This window comes from Homo sapiens, chromosome 6 (genome assembly GCF_000001405.40).
Source record: "Homo sapiens chromosome 6, GRCh38.p14 Primary Assembly".
Lineage (NCBI taxonomy): Eukaryota > Metazoa > Chordata > Mammalia > Primates > Hominidae > Homo > Homo sapiens.
Genome location: NC_000006.12, coordinates 2,987,494 through 2,999,892, shown reverse-complemented (window position 1 = coordinate 2,999,892; position 12,399 = coordinate 2,987,494). Strand labels below are relative to the sequence as shown.

General features: G+C 45.9%; 2 long non-coding RNA genes across 6 annotated transcripts, besides 8 other annotated features; one reads left to right on the top strand and one right to left on the bottom strand.

The window, feature by feature from the left end:
* Nucleotides 1–250: a silencer, noted in NCBI's record as "silent region_16839". NCBI's record gives its function as "represses an Ori minimal core promoter by ATAC-STARR-seq in GM12878 lymphoblastoid cells {active_cell/tissue: GM12878}" and the evidence as "EXISTENCE:reporter gene assay evidence [ECO:0000049][PMID:35858748]".
* Nucleotides 218–10,557, top strand: NQO2-AS1 (NQO2 antisense RNA 1). 5 transcript variants are annotated; one of them, NR_186365.1, is made up of 3 exons: nucleotides 218–880; nucleotides 1,224–1,276; nucleotides 9,882–10,557. It is a non-coding gene; the product is annotated as an NQO2 antisense RNA 1 (long non-coding RNA). The 5 variants fall into 5 exon arrangements; NR_186367.1 differs by lacking the exon at nucleotides 1,224–1,276 and having other exon boundaries at nucleotides 218–502; NR_186366.1 differs by lacking the exon at nucleotides 1,224–1,276.
* Nucleotides 5,796–5,980: a silencer, noted in NCBI's record as "fragment chr6:2994147-2994331 (GRCh37/hg19 assembly coordinates)". NCBI's record gives its function as "represses an EF-1alpha promoter that drives an FKBP-Casp9 reporter gene in an ReSE screen in HepG2 liver carcinoma cells {active_cell/tissue: HepG2}" and the evidence as "EXISTENCE:reporter gene assay evidence [ECO:0000049][PMID:32094911]".
* LINC01011 (long intergenic non-protein coding RNA 1011) lies at nucleotides 8,722–11,926 on the bottom strand. The gene is made up of 3 exons (NR_026856.1): nucleotides 11,862–11,926; nucleotides 10,160–10,365; nucleotides 8,722–10,024 (listed from the first exon to the last, which is right to left on the bottom strand). It is a non-coding gene; the product is annotated as a long intergenic non-protein coding RNA 1011 (long non-coding RNA).
* Nucleotides 8,747–9,554: an enhancer, noted in NCBI's record as "NANOG-H3K27ac-H3K4me1 hESC enhancer chr6:2990573-2991380 (GRCh37/hg19 assembly coordinates)". NCBI's record gives its function as "activates a minimal SCP1, AML or CMV promoter by ChIP-STARR-seq in naive H9 embryonic stem cells {active_cell/tissue: H9 hESC(naive)}" and the evidence as "EXISTENCE:reporter gene assay evidence [ECO:0000049][PMID:30033119]".
* Nucleotides 9,555–10,364: an enhancer, noted in NCBI's record as "NANOG-H3K27ac-H3K4me1 hESC enhancer chr6:2989763-2990572 (GRCh37/hg19 assembly coordinates)". NCBI's record gives its function as "activates a minimal SCP1, AML or CMV promoter by ChIP-STARR-seq in naive H9 embryonic stem cells {active_cell/tissue: H9 hESC(naive)}" and the evidence as "EXISTENCE:reporter gene assay evidence [ECO:0000049][PMID:30033119]".
* Nucleotides 9,832–9,991: an enhancer, noted in NCBI's record as "active region_23880". NCBI's record gives its function as "activates an Ori minimal core promoter by ATAC-STARR-seq in GM12878 lymphoblastoid cells {active_cell/tissue: GM12878}" and the evidence as "EXISTENCE:reporter gene assay evidence [ECO:0000049][PMID:35858748]".
* Nucleotides 10,365–11,174: an enhancer, noted in NCBI's record as "H3K27ac hESC enhancer chr6:2988953-2989762 (GRCh37/hg19 assembly coordinates)". NCBI's record gives its function as "activates a minimal SCP1, AML or CMV promoter by ChIP-STARR-seq in primed H9 embryonic stem cells {active_cell/tissue: H9 hESC(primed)}" and the evidence as "EXISTENCE:reporter gene assay evidence [ECO:0000049][PMID:30033119]".
* Nucleotides 10,562–10,981: a silencer, noted in NCBI's record as "silent region_16838". NCBI's record gives its function as "represses an Ori minimal core promoter by ATAC-STARR-seq in GM12878 lymphoblastoid cells {active_cell/tissue: GM12878}" and the evidence as "EXISTENCE:reporter gene assay evidence [ECO:0000049][PMID:35858748]".
* Nucleotides 11,175–11,984: an enhancer, noted in NCBI's record as "H3K27ac hESC enhancer chr6:2988143-2988952 (GRCh37/hg19 assembly coordinates)". NCBI's record gives its function as "activates a minimal SCP1, AML or CMV promoter by ChIP-STARR-seq in naive and primed H9 embryonic stem cells {active_cell/tissue: H9 hESC(naive and primed)}" and the evidence as "EXISTENCE:reporter gene assay evidence [ECO:0000049][PMID:30033119]".

Genomic DNA, 12,399 nt, shown 5'->3' with positions numbered 1-12,399 from the left:
CCGCGCCGCGGGACTGCAGGCCTCTTTACGCAGCGCGCCTACCACGCCGAGGCCCCGCCCACTCACCCGCCCCGCCCGTGAGCCCCGCCCACACCCCGCCCCGCCCCCGAGCCCCGCCCACTCCCCGCCCCGGCGGTGCGGTGCCTCGCTCCGCGCCCGTCCGCGCCCAGGCCCCGCCTCCACAGCGGCGTCCCGCCCCACCCACACCTCGCCTCGGCCCCTAAGCTCCGCCCACTCCCCGCCCCTGAGGTCCATCTGGGGCCTCGCCCGGCGATCTGGGACTGGGGAGGACCCTGCTGACTTCCAGGCAGGTGGAAACTGGATTGATAGAAATCCAGCGCGGGGAGGCTGTGCTGAGAGGAGGGACGCCCCTGCCCTGCGCCTCCCGCTCCCCATCTCTGGCTGGTATCCCGGTTACAGAATGAGGGTCCGTGGTGCAACAGAAAGAATGAGCCACTGATACACTCATCAGCTTGCTCGGATCTCCCGGGGAGTTACGCTGGTGAGAGAAACCAGTCCCAAAGGTCACTCACCGACGGCGCCGCTGGTGTACTGGTATTATGCAAGATGCCCTCGCAAAGGTCACGCACGGATGGTTCATTTATCCAAAGACCAAAGGAGAGAAATGCAGGACTCATTAGCAGTGCCCAGGAGATAGGGGGGCGGGTGGGTGTGGCTATAAAAACGCAACCCGGGGGGTGCCTGTGAAGGAAATCTGCGTCCCGCGGAACGCAACACGCTGTTGGGATACTGGATTGTCCTTTGTGAGATGCCACTATCGGGGGAAACCGGATGGCTTCACAGAAAAAGTTCGTTTAAAGGAAAATGGTTTAAGGCCAAGGAAATACCTAGAAAACGGAAAGTCTTGAAACCAGAGCCGGTGGGGAGTTATGGGGGGCGGTGCTGGTGAACAGTTTGGGCCGACTTTTTCCAGCGCTTGCTGGCTTCTGCCACCTCATTTGGCAGTCACCTGCCACTGTGACCTCCCCAAGTCCCTTCTCCAAACTCAATTCCTTGATTTCTGGTGTCCCGGGATGGCCCCACTCCAACAATAGAGCAGAAGGAAGGAAGGTTTCCCCTGTGTTTAGAACGTTCCTAACGAAAATAACTGCAACTCTTGATTGTACCTCCTGAGGGTCGTTGGGACTTTCCCTCTCAGACATTTATTGGTTCATTCATTCGTTCATTTTGCTGTAACTCACAGTGGCCCTCCCCATCCTAAGGTGCACTGCTGGGATTGGTCTATGTGCTGATGATGTTCTCCTTGTCTTCAGAGGTGAGAATGTGCCCTCCCTCCGAGATGCCCTCTTGCCCCTGAGCTCCCCAGCAGGGAATAGGCTGCCTTGTCTTGTGAGTCCAGATCCTGGGAACAACTTTCATTTAGGAATGGAACAGCAGGTCCTGGGAGCATTGGCGCCTGCGCGCCCATCATGCGCGTGTGTGATGCAACATCACCACCTTGTGGCAGCGAGGAGCTATCACAACGTGGACTGAGCAAGTTGCTCCCTGCTTGGGGTTGGGAGCTGGACTGGCCTAGTTCCCTGGGTCTTTTGTAACCTGAATGGTGGTAGATTCCAGGACAGTTCAGTAGGAGCCCATCCTCAAAAGGAAAATAACAGAACTTCCTGCTAATCTGGTATTGGGGCTGAGCAATTACTGCACACTAATGAGATTGACCATAATTGCATCCTGAGTTTGAGGAGGAGGTCATGCTACTAAAATGAGATAAAATCAGCTCCAACGACAAACATCATCTCTGGGGGTTTCCAGATTCTCACTTTTCATTTAATCCCCAGCCTTAGTGGAAAGCAAGAGTCGGAGTCGGCATTCTGGGCAGGGAGGCAGGTGAGGCAGGTACACATCTCCTCTTCTCCCCAACGCCCCATGTTTCTATTTCTGAATAAAATGAACCATCATGGTGCTAAGGTAAAGCTAAACTAGCTGAGCCACCTCCTGAAGAGGTCATTGCTTTTGTTTTTATTTAATGAGATTTCTTTCCCTTCTGCTACCAGCATCCCTATTCCTTTGGAAAACTGCTTCTTCATAATAACATAAAGGTTTTGGATTTTTTGTTTTGTTTTTTGGGTAGCAAAATCTGTATAACATGAAATTTTCTATTTTCACCATTTTAAGTGTACAATTCAGTGGCATAAATTACCTTTAGAGTGCTGTGCAACCATTACAACTATTTATTTTCAAAACGTTTTCATCATCCCAAATAGAAACACTTGGGTCAGGGGCCATAGATCACGCCTGTAATCCCAGCACTTTGGGAGGCAGAGGCATGCAGATCACCTGAGGTCAAAAGTTTGAGACCAGCCTGGCCAACATGGCGAAACCCCATCTCTACAAAAATTTGCCAGGTGGTGTACACCTGTAATCCCAGCTACTCAGAGGCTGAGGCAGGAGAATTGCTTGAACCCAGGAGGCGGAGGCTGCAGTGAGCTGAGATCGTGGCACTGCACTCCAGCCTGGATGACAGAGCGAGACCCTGTCTCAAACAAAAACAAAAACAAATAGAAACACTGCACTCATTGGATAATAAATCCCCATTCTCCCCTCCTTCCACTCCTGGTAGCCTCTAATCTACTTTCTGTCTCCATGAATTTGTCTATTGCATGTATTTCATATAAGTGGAATCCTACAAGATGTGGCCTTTTCACTAAGCTTTTTTTCCTCAAAAACCTTGTTGCTGAGTTTCATCCATGTTGTAGTATGCATCAGAACTTCATTCCTTTTTATGGCCGAATAATAGAAAAATGTGTATACCGCCTGGCCAACGTGGGGAAACCCCATCTCTACTAAAAACACAAAAATTAGCTGGGCATGGTGGTGTGCACCTGTAGTCCCAGCTACTCGGGAGGCTGAGGCAGGAGAATCACTTGAACCCAGGAGGCAGAGGTGGCGGTGAGCTGAGATTGTGTCATTGCACTCAAGCCTGGGCAACAAGAGCAAGACTGACAGAAAGAAAAGAAAGAAGAAAGAGAGAAAGAAAAAGAAAGGAAGGAAGGAAGGAAGGAAGGAAGGAAGGAAGGAAGGAAGGAAGGAAGGAAGGAAGGAAGGGTACCAGGCATTGTTTATCCACTCATCTGTTGTTTGACTATTGTGAATAATATTGCAATGATTATTGGTGTACAAGTATCTGTTTCAGTCCCTGTGTTCAATAATTTTGGTTATACACCTTGGAGTGGAATTGTCGGTATTACAATTCTATGGTCATTCTATGTTTAGCTTTCTGAGGAACAGCCAAACTGTTTTCCACAGCGTCTACACCATTTCACATTTTCACCAACAATGTACACAGGTTCCAACTTCTCTACATTCTCACGCACATTTGTTATGTTTCTTTTTTTTCCCTCTAAATTATAGCCATCCTAGCAAGTGCGAAGTGGTATCTCATTGTGGTTTTGATTTGCATTTCCCTAAGGACTAATGACTTTGAGCATCTTTTCATGTGCTTACTGGCCATTTGTATACCTTCCTTGGAGAAATGTCTATTCAAGTCCTTTGTTGACCATTTAATTGGGTTGTTTGTCTATTTGTTGTTGAGTTGTAGGTTTTTTGTTTGTTTTTTGAGACGGAGTTTTGCTCTTGTTGCCCAGGCTGGAGTGCAATGGCGAGATCTCGGCTCACCGCAACCTCCGCCTCCTGGGTTCAAGTGATTCTTATGCCTCAGCCTCCCGAGTAGCTGGGATTACGGGAATACGCCACCACGCCTGGCTAATTTTATATTTTTAGTAGAGACAGGGTTTCTCCATGTTGGTCAGCCTGGTCTCAAACTCCCGACCTTAGGTGATCCGCCCACGTCGGCCTCCCAAAGTGCTGGGATTACAGGCGTGAGCCACCGCACCCGGCCGAGTTGTAGGTGTTCTTTACATATTCTGGATGTTATCAGACATAGGATTTACAAATATTTTCTCCCATTCTGTAGGTTGTCTTTCACTTTCTTGAAAATGTCCTTTGATATAAAAGTTTCACATTTTTTATGAACTCCAATTTACCTATTTTTTGTTGTTTCTTCCTGGGCTTTTAGTGTCTTATCTAAGAACCCAAAACACAAGATCATGAAGATTTACTCTTACGTTTTCCTCTATATGGCTTTAGTTCTTATATTTAGGTTGTGAATTATTTTTCACATATGGTGTGAAGTGGAGCCCAACTTTAGTCTTGCATGTGGAAATCCATTTCTCTCACAGCATATATTAAAGAAACTATTATTTCATCATTGAATGGACTTGGCACTCTTGTCAAAAATTCACTGGCCACAGATGTATGGATTTATTGAGGATCCCTTGTACATCTCTTGCAGCTTTTAAGATTCTCCCTTAGTCTTATACAGGCATATCTGCCTTATTCTGCTTCTCTTTATAGTACTTCCACAGATGTTGCATTTTTTTTTTTTTTACAAATTGAAGGTCTGTGGCAATCCTGTGTCAAGGAAGTCTATGTTTATGTGATCAATATTATTATCAATTATTGTATTGTGATTCCTCAGAAAGGTTACATAATCTATTGACACCTCTAGCATGGGATAGTGACACATATAACAGATACTGACACTCTGTCCATCACTGAACTGTGTGTGGATTGATCAAAGCAATCTTTGAGTGAGTCTAGTTTCCCCTCTGGTAGGACCTACTTAGACGGAGATAAAATATTTTCTCACCGCTTACATTAATCTAGATTTAGATATAGTTGTCCTCCTGTATTTGTGTGTTCCATATCTGCTGATTCAACCAACCTCCAATGGAATATATTTGAAAGAAAAAGCAATACAACAATAAAAAAATACAAATAAAAATACAGTGTAACAACTATTTATATAGCATTTACATTGTATTAGGTACTATATGTAATCTAGAGATTATTTACAGTATATGGGAGGCTGTGCAAAGGTTATGTGTCAATACTATGCCATTTTATATCAGGGATTTGAGCATCTGTGGATTTTGATATATTTGAGGGGTCCTGGTCCCAGTCCTCCATGAATACCCAGGATTGACTATATATTTTTGGATGTTAAATCACCTTGCAGAACTTGAAAAAAAAGTTATCAAGTAAACAATCTCCAGGTGAAATAGTCCATATCAGTACCGTCTTTCAAGTATTAGTTGTTTATCAGTCAGATTACTATTAAGGCTGACATAACTTTGATCAGACCAAGTTTCTGAACAGTTCATATCCCTAAACTGAACATTAGTTCCTCGTTCTCATGCAACACATAGCCCGTTTTTCTTTGCACATTGTCTGATTTTCATATGTGCTTGACACTTAATAATTTTAAGTTCCTATGGCTTTACTAGTGCGTAGGAAAGATTTTCAACTGTATCATAGGACTTGTGAAAATGGAAAGAATGGAAAATGTAAGACGAAGTGTAGACACTAAAATCTTAGACTCAACACCCTTATATCATATGGCCTTCTTCTAAGGAGTGTAGGTTCCTGTCTTAGTCTGTTTTGTGTTGCTATAAAGGAATACCTGAGGCTGAGTAATTTATAAAGATAAAAGGTTTATTTGGCTAATGACTCTGAATGGTTGGAAAGTTCAAGGTTGGGCATCTGCATCTGGTGAGGGCCTCAGGCTGCCTCTACTCATGGAGGAAGGTGAAGGAGAACTGGAGTGTGCAGAGATTACATGGCAAGAGAGTAAGCAAGAGAGAAAGGAGGGAGGTCAAGGATTGTTTCTAACCACCAGCTCTGGAAGAACTCACTCACCCCTGAGGGAGGGCATTCATCTATTCATAAGGATCTGGCCCTGCAACCTAAACACCACCCATTAAGCCCCACTCCAACATTGGTGATCACATTTCAACTTGAGGTCAGGCTTGGCGGTGCTCACCTGTAGTCCCAGCTACTCCAGAGGCTTAGGTGGGAGGATTGCTTGAGCCCAGGAGTTCAAGGCTACGGTGAGTCACAAACACACCACAGCACTCCAGCCTGGGTAACAGAGCGAGGCCCTTATCTATGAAAACAAGAAAAAAGATGAAACAAATTTCAACATGAGGTTTGGAAGGAACAAACATCTAAATCACACAGTAGTTCCTGACCTGAAGCTATTGTCACATTATTGATGTGTATAATTTAGAAATATGTCATTAATAGCCAATACTCAGATCTAGAAAACTAGTGGACAAAGCGAGTGCTTTAAAACCAAAGTGGCATTTAAAAAAAAATCAAACCTACTGGTTTTCCTACTAAGTAAGTCTTGAAATAATGCACTATAGAGATCCTGTCTTATCTATACAGCTAGAGAGAATAACAAATTTTACTTTTATCAGTTAAATAAATTTTGTCTTAATATGACTTATTATTTATATTTATCTTTTTACATTTCAAAAACACTATGTTATTCAATTGAATGACTTATAATTTTTGAGTTACCTGGTCACTGTATTATCATTGTCAGTTATTATATTTCACATGCATTACTTAGTAAAGACAAATCTTGGGGCCGGGCACGGTGGCTCACACCTATAATCCCAGCACTTTGGGAGGCCAAGGCGGGCGGATCACGAGGTCAGGAGATCGAGACCATCTTGGCTAACATGGTGAAACCCTGTCTCTACTAAAAATACAAAAAATTAGCCGGGCGTGGTTGCAGGTGCCTGTAGTCCCAGCTATTCGGGAGGCTGAGGCAGGAGAATGGCCTGAACCCGGGAGGCGGAGCTTGCAGTGAGCAGAGATCGTGCCACTGCACTCCAGCCTGGACGACAGAGCGAGACTCCGTCCCAAAAAAAAAAAAAAAAAAGAAAAATCTTTACCAAGGCCTGATTTCTTGAGCATATTGATATAATATATAGTTAAACATGTTATTGATAGACAAGATGTTTCTCAAGAATATTATGTTTGTGCAGAAATTACCACATAAAATTAAATCCTTCTTTTCGGCTGACTATTTTTTAAAAACTTAGGCTGATATTAATGAAAAAACTGAAACCCAAATGAAGCCTGGAGTTAATAGTAATGTACAACGTTGGGACCTTAGTTTCCACAAATGTATCTGTTTTACTTTAAGATCTTCAAGATGCGGAGCACCCCTACAACGATTAGGAGAGACACAGGCTAGAAATAGTTTATTACTTACAGATCCTGGGGCACATGGCATACTTGGAGGCCACCTTCATGGAAATCAGGGAGTGCAGGCAGAGAGACCAAGACAGCAACCCATGGGCCAACACCTTTATTGGGTCCAGGGTGTTATCCAAACAGGTTTCCCATGGGGAGTTTTATTCGGTGGGTTTACAGCAAGCAGGCATGAGTTCCAGGAGGTGGCACAGTGACTGAGTGGTGGGCCCTGTGGCGCATCTGCACATTCTAGGTGGGGTGTGAGGGTCAGTGTGGCCAATAGGTTCTAGCTGTGCCATAGAGAAGTGGTCAACAGGAGATAGTTGTATGAGGCAGATATCTGGATCCACCACATAACAGAACTGGGAGAAGGTGGAGAACCAGCAACTTTGTCCGGGGTGACTGAGCCTTGATTTTGGTGTGGGAAAGTCCAATGTATATTCAAAATGGATGTGGAGGCAACCCAACATAAGAATTCACAACACTACCATGGTGATATGTTACCATTAGGGGAAACTGTGTTAGGGGAATATGGTAACTACCTGTATTATCTGACTTTCCTGTGAATCTAAAGTTATTCCAAAGTAAAAAAAAAAATTGTATTAAAAAAACTATTATAAATAAAAGTTTAATGACACTAAAATCCCTGCTTTAAAATCTTATGAGCTAGCAGAGTACATTTCTAACTTATATGTTATATGTGCTGTTAACTATGAGAAGATCTCCCCCAAAATCATGTTTTTCTAATTTCTTATAAAAATACTAATACAAAACTGCTTATTGACTGCATCTCATCAGCTGTTATTCTTTTAGACTGATTGAATTATTCTAAGTTGCTTTTCCAGATTCATCTAATAAAAAGAAAGATTGGATCTGACATGAACAGTGTATAAATTAGTACAAGAAAGTCTCTTTTCTGAATCAAATCTTGGTCCTACAGTTTAGGATTTTATTTATTTAATTTACTTTGAGACAGGGTCTCATTCTGTTGCCCAGGCTGGAGAGCAGCGGCGCTATATCTCAGCTCACTGCAACCTCCGCGTCCCGGGTTCAAGCGATTCTGGTGCCTCAGCTTCCTGAGTAGCTGGGACTACAGGTGAGCGCCATCACACCCGGCTAAATTTTTTATTGTATTTTTAGTAGAGACAGGGTTTCATCATGTTGGCCAGGCTGGTCTCCAACTCCTGGCCTCAAGTGATCCACCAGCCTCAGCCTCCCAAAGTGCTGGGATTACAGGAGTGAGCCACCATGCCCAGCCTAGTTTAGGATTAAAAAATTGTTCTATGCCTTAATGCCAAAGATAGAACATTGTAATAATTATTTTATTACAATTTATGTAATTATTTTAATTATTTTATGTCTTTAAGAAACAATTTGCCTCTGTCATATCTCACATTAAAATGGAAAAAAAAATTCCTTATGTTTGTGTTCTAACAAATTAAAAGTTGTGTATCATTGTGAATTCAAAAGAGAAGCAGGTAACACATGAACTGGGATCATGGAAACCAAACCAGAATAAAGCAAGCCCAGCACAATACTATCTTGGAGGCTGACCAGTTAGAAGGTCTTAAACATAATATATTTTAAACAAACAGTTAAAGGAAAAAGATTAACCTAGTGTTGTAACCGAGCGAGTTACAGAGAAACGCCACACTCTGAGACGAATTCAGGAGTCCTTTATTAGCCGGCAGCCGAGAGACAGCTAGCGCTCGAAATTCTCTTGGCCCCGAAGAAGGAGCTAGATTTTCTTTTATACTTTGGTTTAGACAGGGGAGAGGGGGAGTCTAGTTGAAACAATCTTACAGAAGTAAAGTAGGCAAAAAGTTAAAAGGATAAACGGTTACAGGAAAGTAAACAGTTCCAGGTGCAGAGGCTTTAAGTCTATCCTAAGGTGATGGACGCCGGGCTTTGGGCGTTATCAACCGGACACAAACGCAGGGGCTCTGGGTGCTATTAACCGGGCGAATTCCTGGGAACTGCGGATATAGCTTGCCACAGTATCTTATCAGTTAATTGCATTCTTGATGTGCTGGGAGTCAGCTTGCACAAGTTAAGTCCTTGAGGAAGGGGGTGGGTAAGGGGCTGCGAGTGAAGGAGTCACGATGGAGTCCGTCTGGCTCTCTTAGCTAAGGAAGAGTCACTTCAGGTTAAAACAAGGTAGGGTATCCCACTAGAAGCCTCACATCATTAAGCTTCAGTCAGGCAGGCATTCCTTTAAAAAGTGTTTACTGAGTACCTTCTCTATGTCAGTCACTATTTGGGGCATAAAGGACTCACTTCTCCGCAAAAACAAACTCTGATCCCCCGGTCTCCTCGAGTCACGGAGCTTGCAAGCTAGTGGGAAAAATTGGGAACTGGTGCAAAGAATGACTGCAAAATAAATTGTGGTCATCTTGAAGACATATGCGTGCATGTGTGCGTGAAGCTTTTTAAATAGAGAAGCTTTAAGTGGGGGAAATTTGCTGACATTACACGATTTCTTCTCTTAGTGCAAATGTATACAGCCTGTCTTTTTGAAGGGGTCACGGTAGATAATTATGCTCTGTTAACCTCATTTGTTGTCAGGGAAAATTAAAACTAAGGGTAGTGTCAGTAGGAATCTTGGTTCCTGCCAGTTTTGTTGTTTGTTAGCATATCTTCCTTTACAGGTAGTATGGTTTCATTTTCGTAAAAATGCTGCATAAACGTGGCTGGGTATGTTACTCATTGCAGTGCCTGCTGATTTCGCTGGACCCCACCCTGCTTTTGCTGCCCAATGCGATAGCATATGGGACAGAGCTAAATTCCTACTCAGCTGTAACTCTGCTTATTTTCAGGAAAAAGAATGCCTGTGTTTCGAAGTTCCTTCTTAGGACGAAACCAGCTGAAGCTGGCGAAATCCAAGATGGCGCCTCTGAAGAGCCTCTGGCTTTATCATCATCCTGTTCTCATGCTAAACAACATGTCGCCATGACAACGACTGGAAGAGACCAAGAAGGGACAGAAAAAAAGGGGTTTCTTGATTCCGGGAAAAATCTCCGTTCTTTCCCAAGGAAAGCACGAATATTCCCCCCCGTGCTCTTAATGCCCAGCCCCTTCATTAAAGACACCCTACCTCTGAAACTTCCCAGCTCTCACAAGCTAAGTTGATTTCAGATCTTCCAATTCCATAGCCATTGAATACAGCCTGCACTGCTTGACACACTCCCTTTCGGTTTCGTGCATTGGCCTCACCACGCAACAGGAAACAACCCTTTTTGGGATAACCGGGACTCCCGGTAACATTTCCATATATACATATCTTAATGTATGCAAGGGCGTCTGGGGGAGAAAGAAGCAGCACATTTCATTCTTTGCTTTCTATAATACTGGATTGCTTGAGTTTGTGACACATGTTAACATTTGCAACATTTTTAAACTAAATTGTATGTATTATAGAACAGTCCTCTGCGCTGAGCTTGGACTTAAAGTGGAAAGGCTTACATTTGCAGAATTAAAAAAAGCATCGAAACATTCTGTGGCAGGAAGTCCTGCGAGCCTCCTCGCCCCAGCCCGGTTTCCCGCGGGCCCCAGCCTCATCCCCCAAGGCCCCACCCTGAGAGCCCCCAGGTCCCAGCCGCGTCCTCCTGGACCCCTCCCAGGCGTGGCGAGCCGGGTCGCGGGAGCGCTCCGCCACCAGGGGACAGTGCGGCGCCGACCGTGGGCTGCTGGCTCGGCCGAGGGCACCCAGGCGCCCTCCGCTGCAGCGGGCTGGTTGCAGAGGGGCGGGCTCTCGCCAGGCAGCAGGCGCTCCGGGCGCAGCTGGGAGGAAGGAACGCCCCCGGGAGTGGGCGGCGGCCGAGGGACCCTGCAACCGTCCTCCCTGGAGGAGGCCCCCGCAGCTCCCGCAGCCCCCCTCATCCCGGACGGGCCGGGGATTGGGACTGGCCTGGGGTCTCCTACTCTCCTACTCCGCGCAGGAAGTAGCCCCTTGGCAGGACCGGCGGTGCCTGCTGCTTTCAGGAGCCCCGAGCCGCTTTTGTCTGGGTGCAGCTCAGCTCACATCCCCGATGCAAGTCTTTCCCGGCTCGTCTCCCCTTCTTCCCGGAGTCCATGCCTTGCTGTCGGTGACTCATCCCACACTGTGCCCTGCGACTCACCCTGTCGCTTTCTCTGTTCATCCGGGAGCGCGGCGCCATCTCCCTCCAGCCCCGCCTCCCCTACAGTGCTCCGTGCTGAGGTCGCACGTTCTCTCCTCCCTCCAGCTCCCTGGCTCTTGGCCCTTCCCAGGCCACCAGGCGACAGCAGCCTCCGCCTTCATTTCCCTTGGTCATTTCAGGCGCATGCTTGGAGGATTTCAGGATCTGACTCAGCTTCCCCGCCATGCATCCCTCCACCAGCATCCAGTCACACCTCTGCAGCCTTCAGTGTCCTGGAAAGGACTGACCAATCTGACCCATTAGAACCTACCCAGACCAATTTGAAGGCCACTGCCCCTCAACCGTGGCCACCCACTCCTGCCCCACCTGGAGCCCCAAACTGCTCAGTTCCTTCTCTAAAACTCTGCCCTCTTTTGTTTGTTGTGAATAACTGTCTTCCCTGGTTCTTTCCACACCTCTCTGGCCTCTCCTTGTCTTTTTCTGGTTCTTTTTTTCTCTATTCTCCCTTATGCACTGGCCTTGCTGGAGGTCCCTGCTCTCCCTGCAAAACCTCACCACACCCTTGACTTCAGCTATATCCATTTCACCTCACGTTGACATCTGGTGCCTAGACCTCTCTCCCGAGCCTTCCACACCATGCCAAAAATGAAATTCATTTTCTCCTCTAAATTTGCTCACCTTCTTGTTTTCCCAATCTTATTTATTGTCACAGCCATTCCCCTGCTGGTCCAAGTCAGTAGTCTGAGAGTCATGCTAGACTCCTCCTTCCTTATCTACCCATCCACCAATCCCCAAGCCCTGTCTATCCTCCTTTTTTTTTTTTTTTTTTTCCAGTCAGAGTCTTGCTGTGTTGCCCAGGCTAGAGTGCAATGGCACGATCTCGGCTCACTGCAATCTTTGCCTCCCGGGTTCAAGTGATTCTCCTGCCTCAGCCTCCTGAGTAGCTGGGATTACAGGCGCATGTCACCACGCCCAGCTAATTTTTGTATTTTTAGCAGAGATGAGGTTTTGCCATGTTGGCCAGGCTGGTCTTGAACTGCTGACCTCGTGATCCGCCTGCCTCTGCCTCCCAAAGTGCTGGGATTACTGGCATGAGCCACTGTGCCTGGTCATCTATCCTCCTTTTTAAATAGCTCTGCCATGTGTGCCTGTCTCCCCTGACAGCTCACCCTCATCCTATTTGTCCACATTGCTGCAGAGTAGTCTCTTCCATACA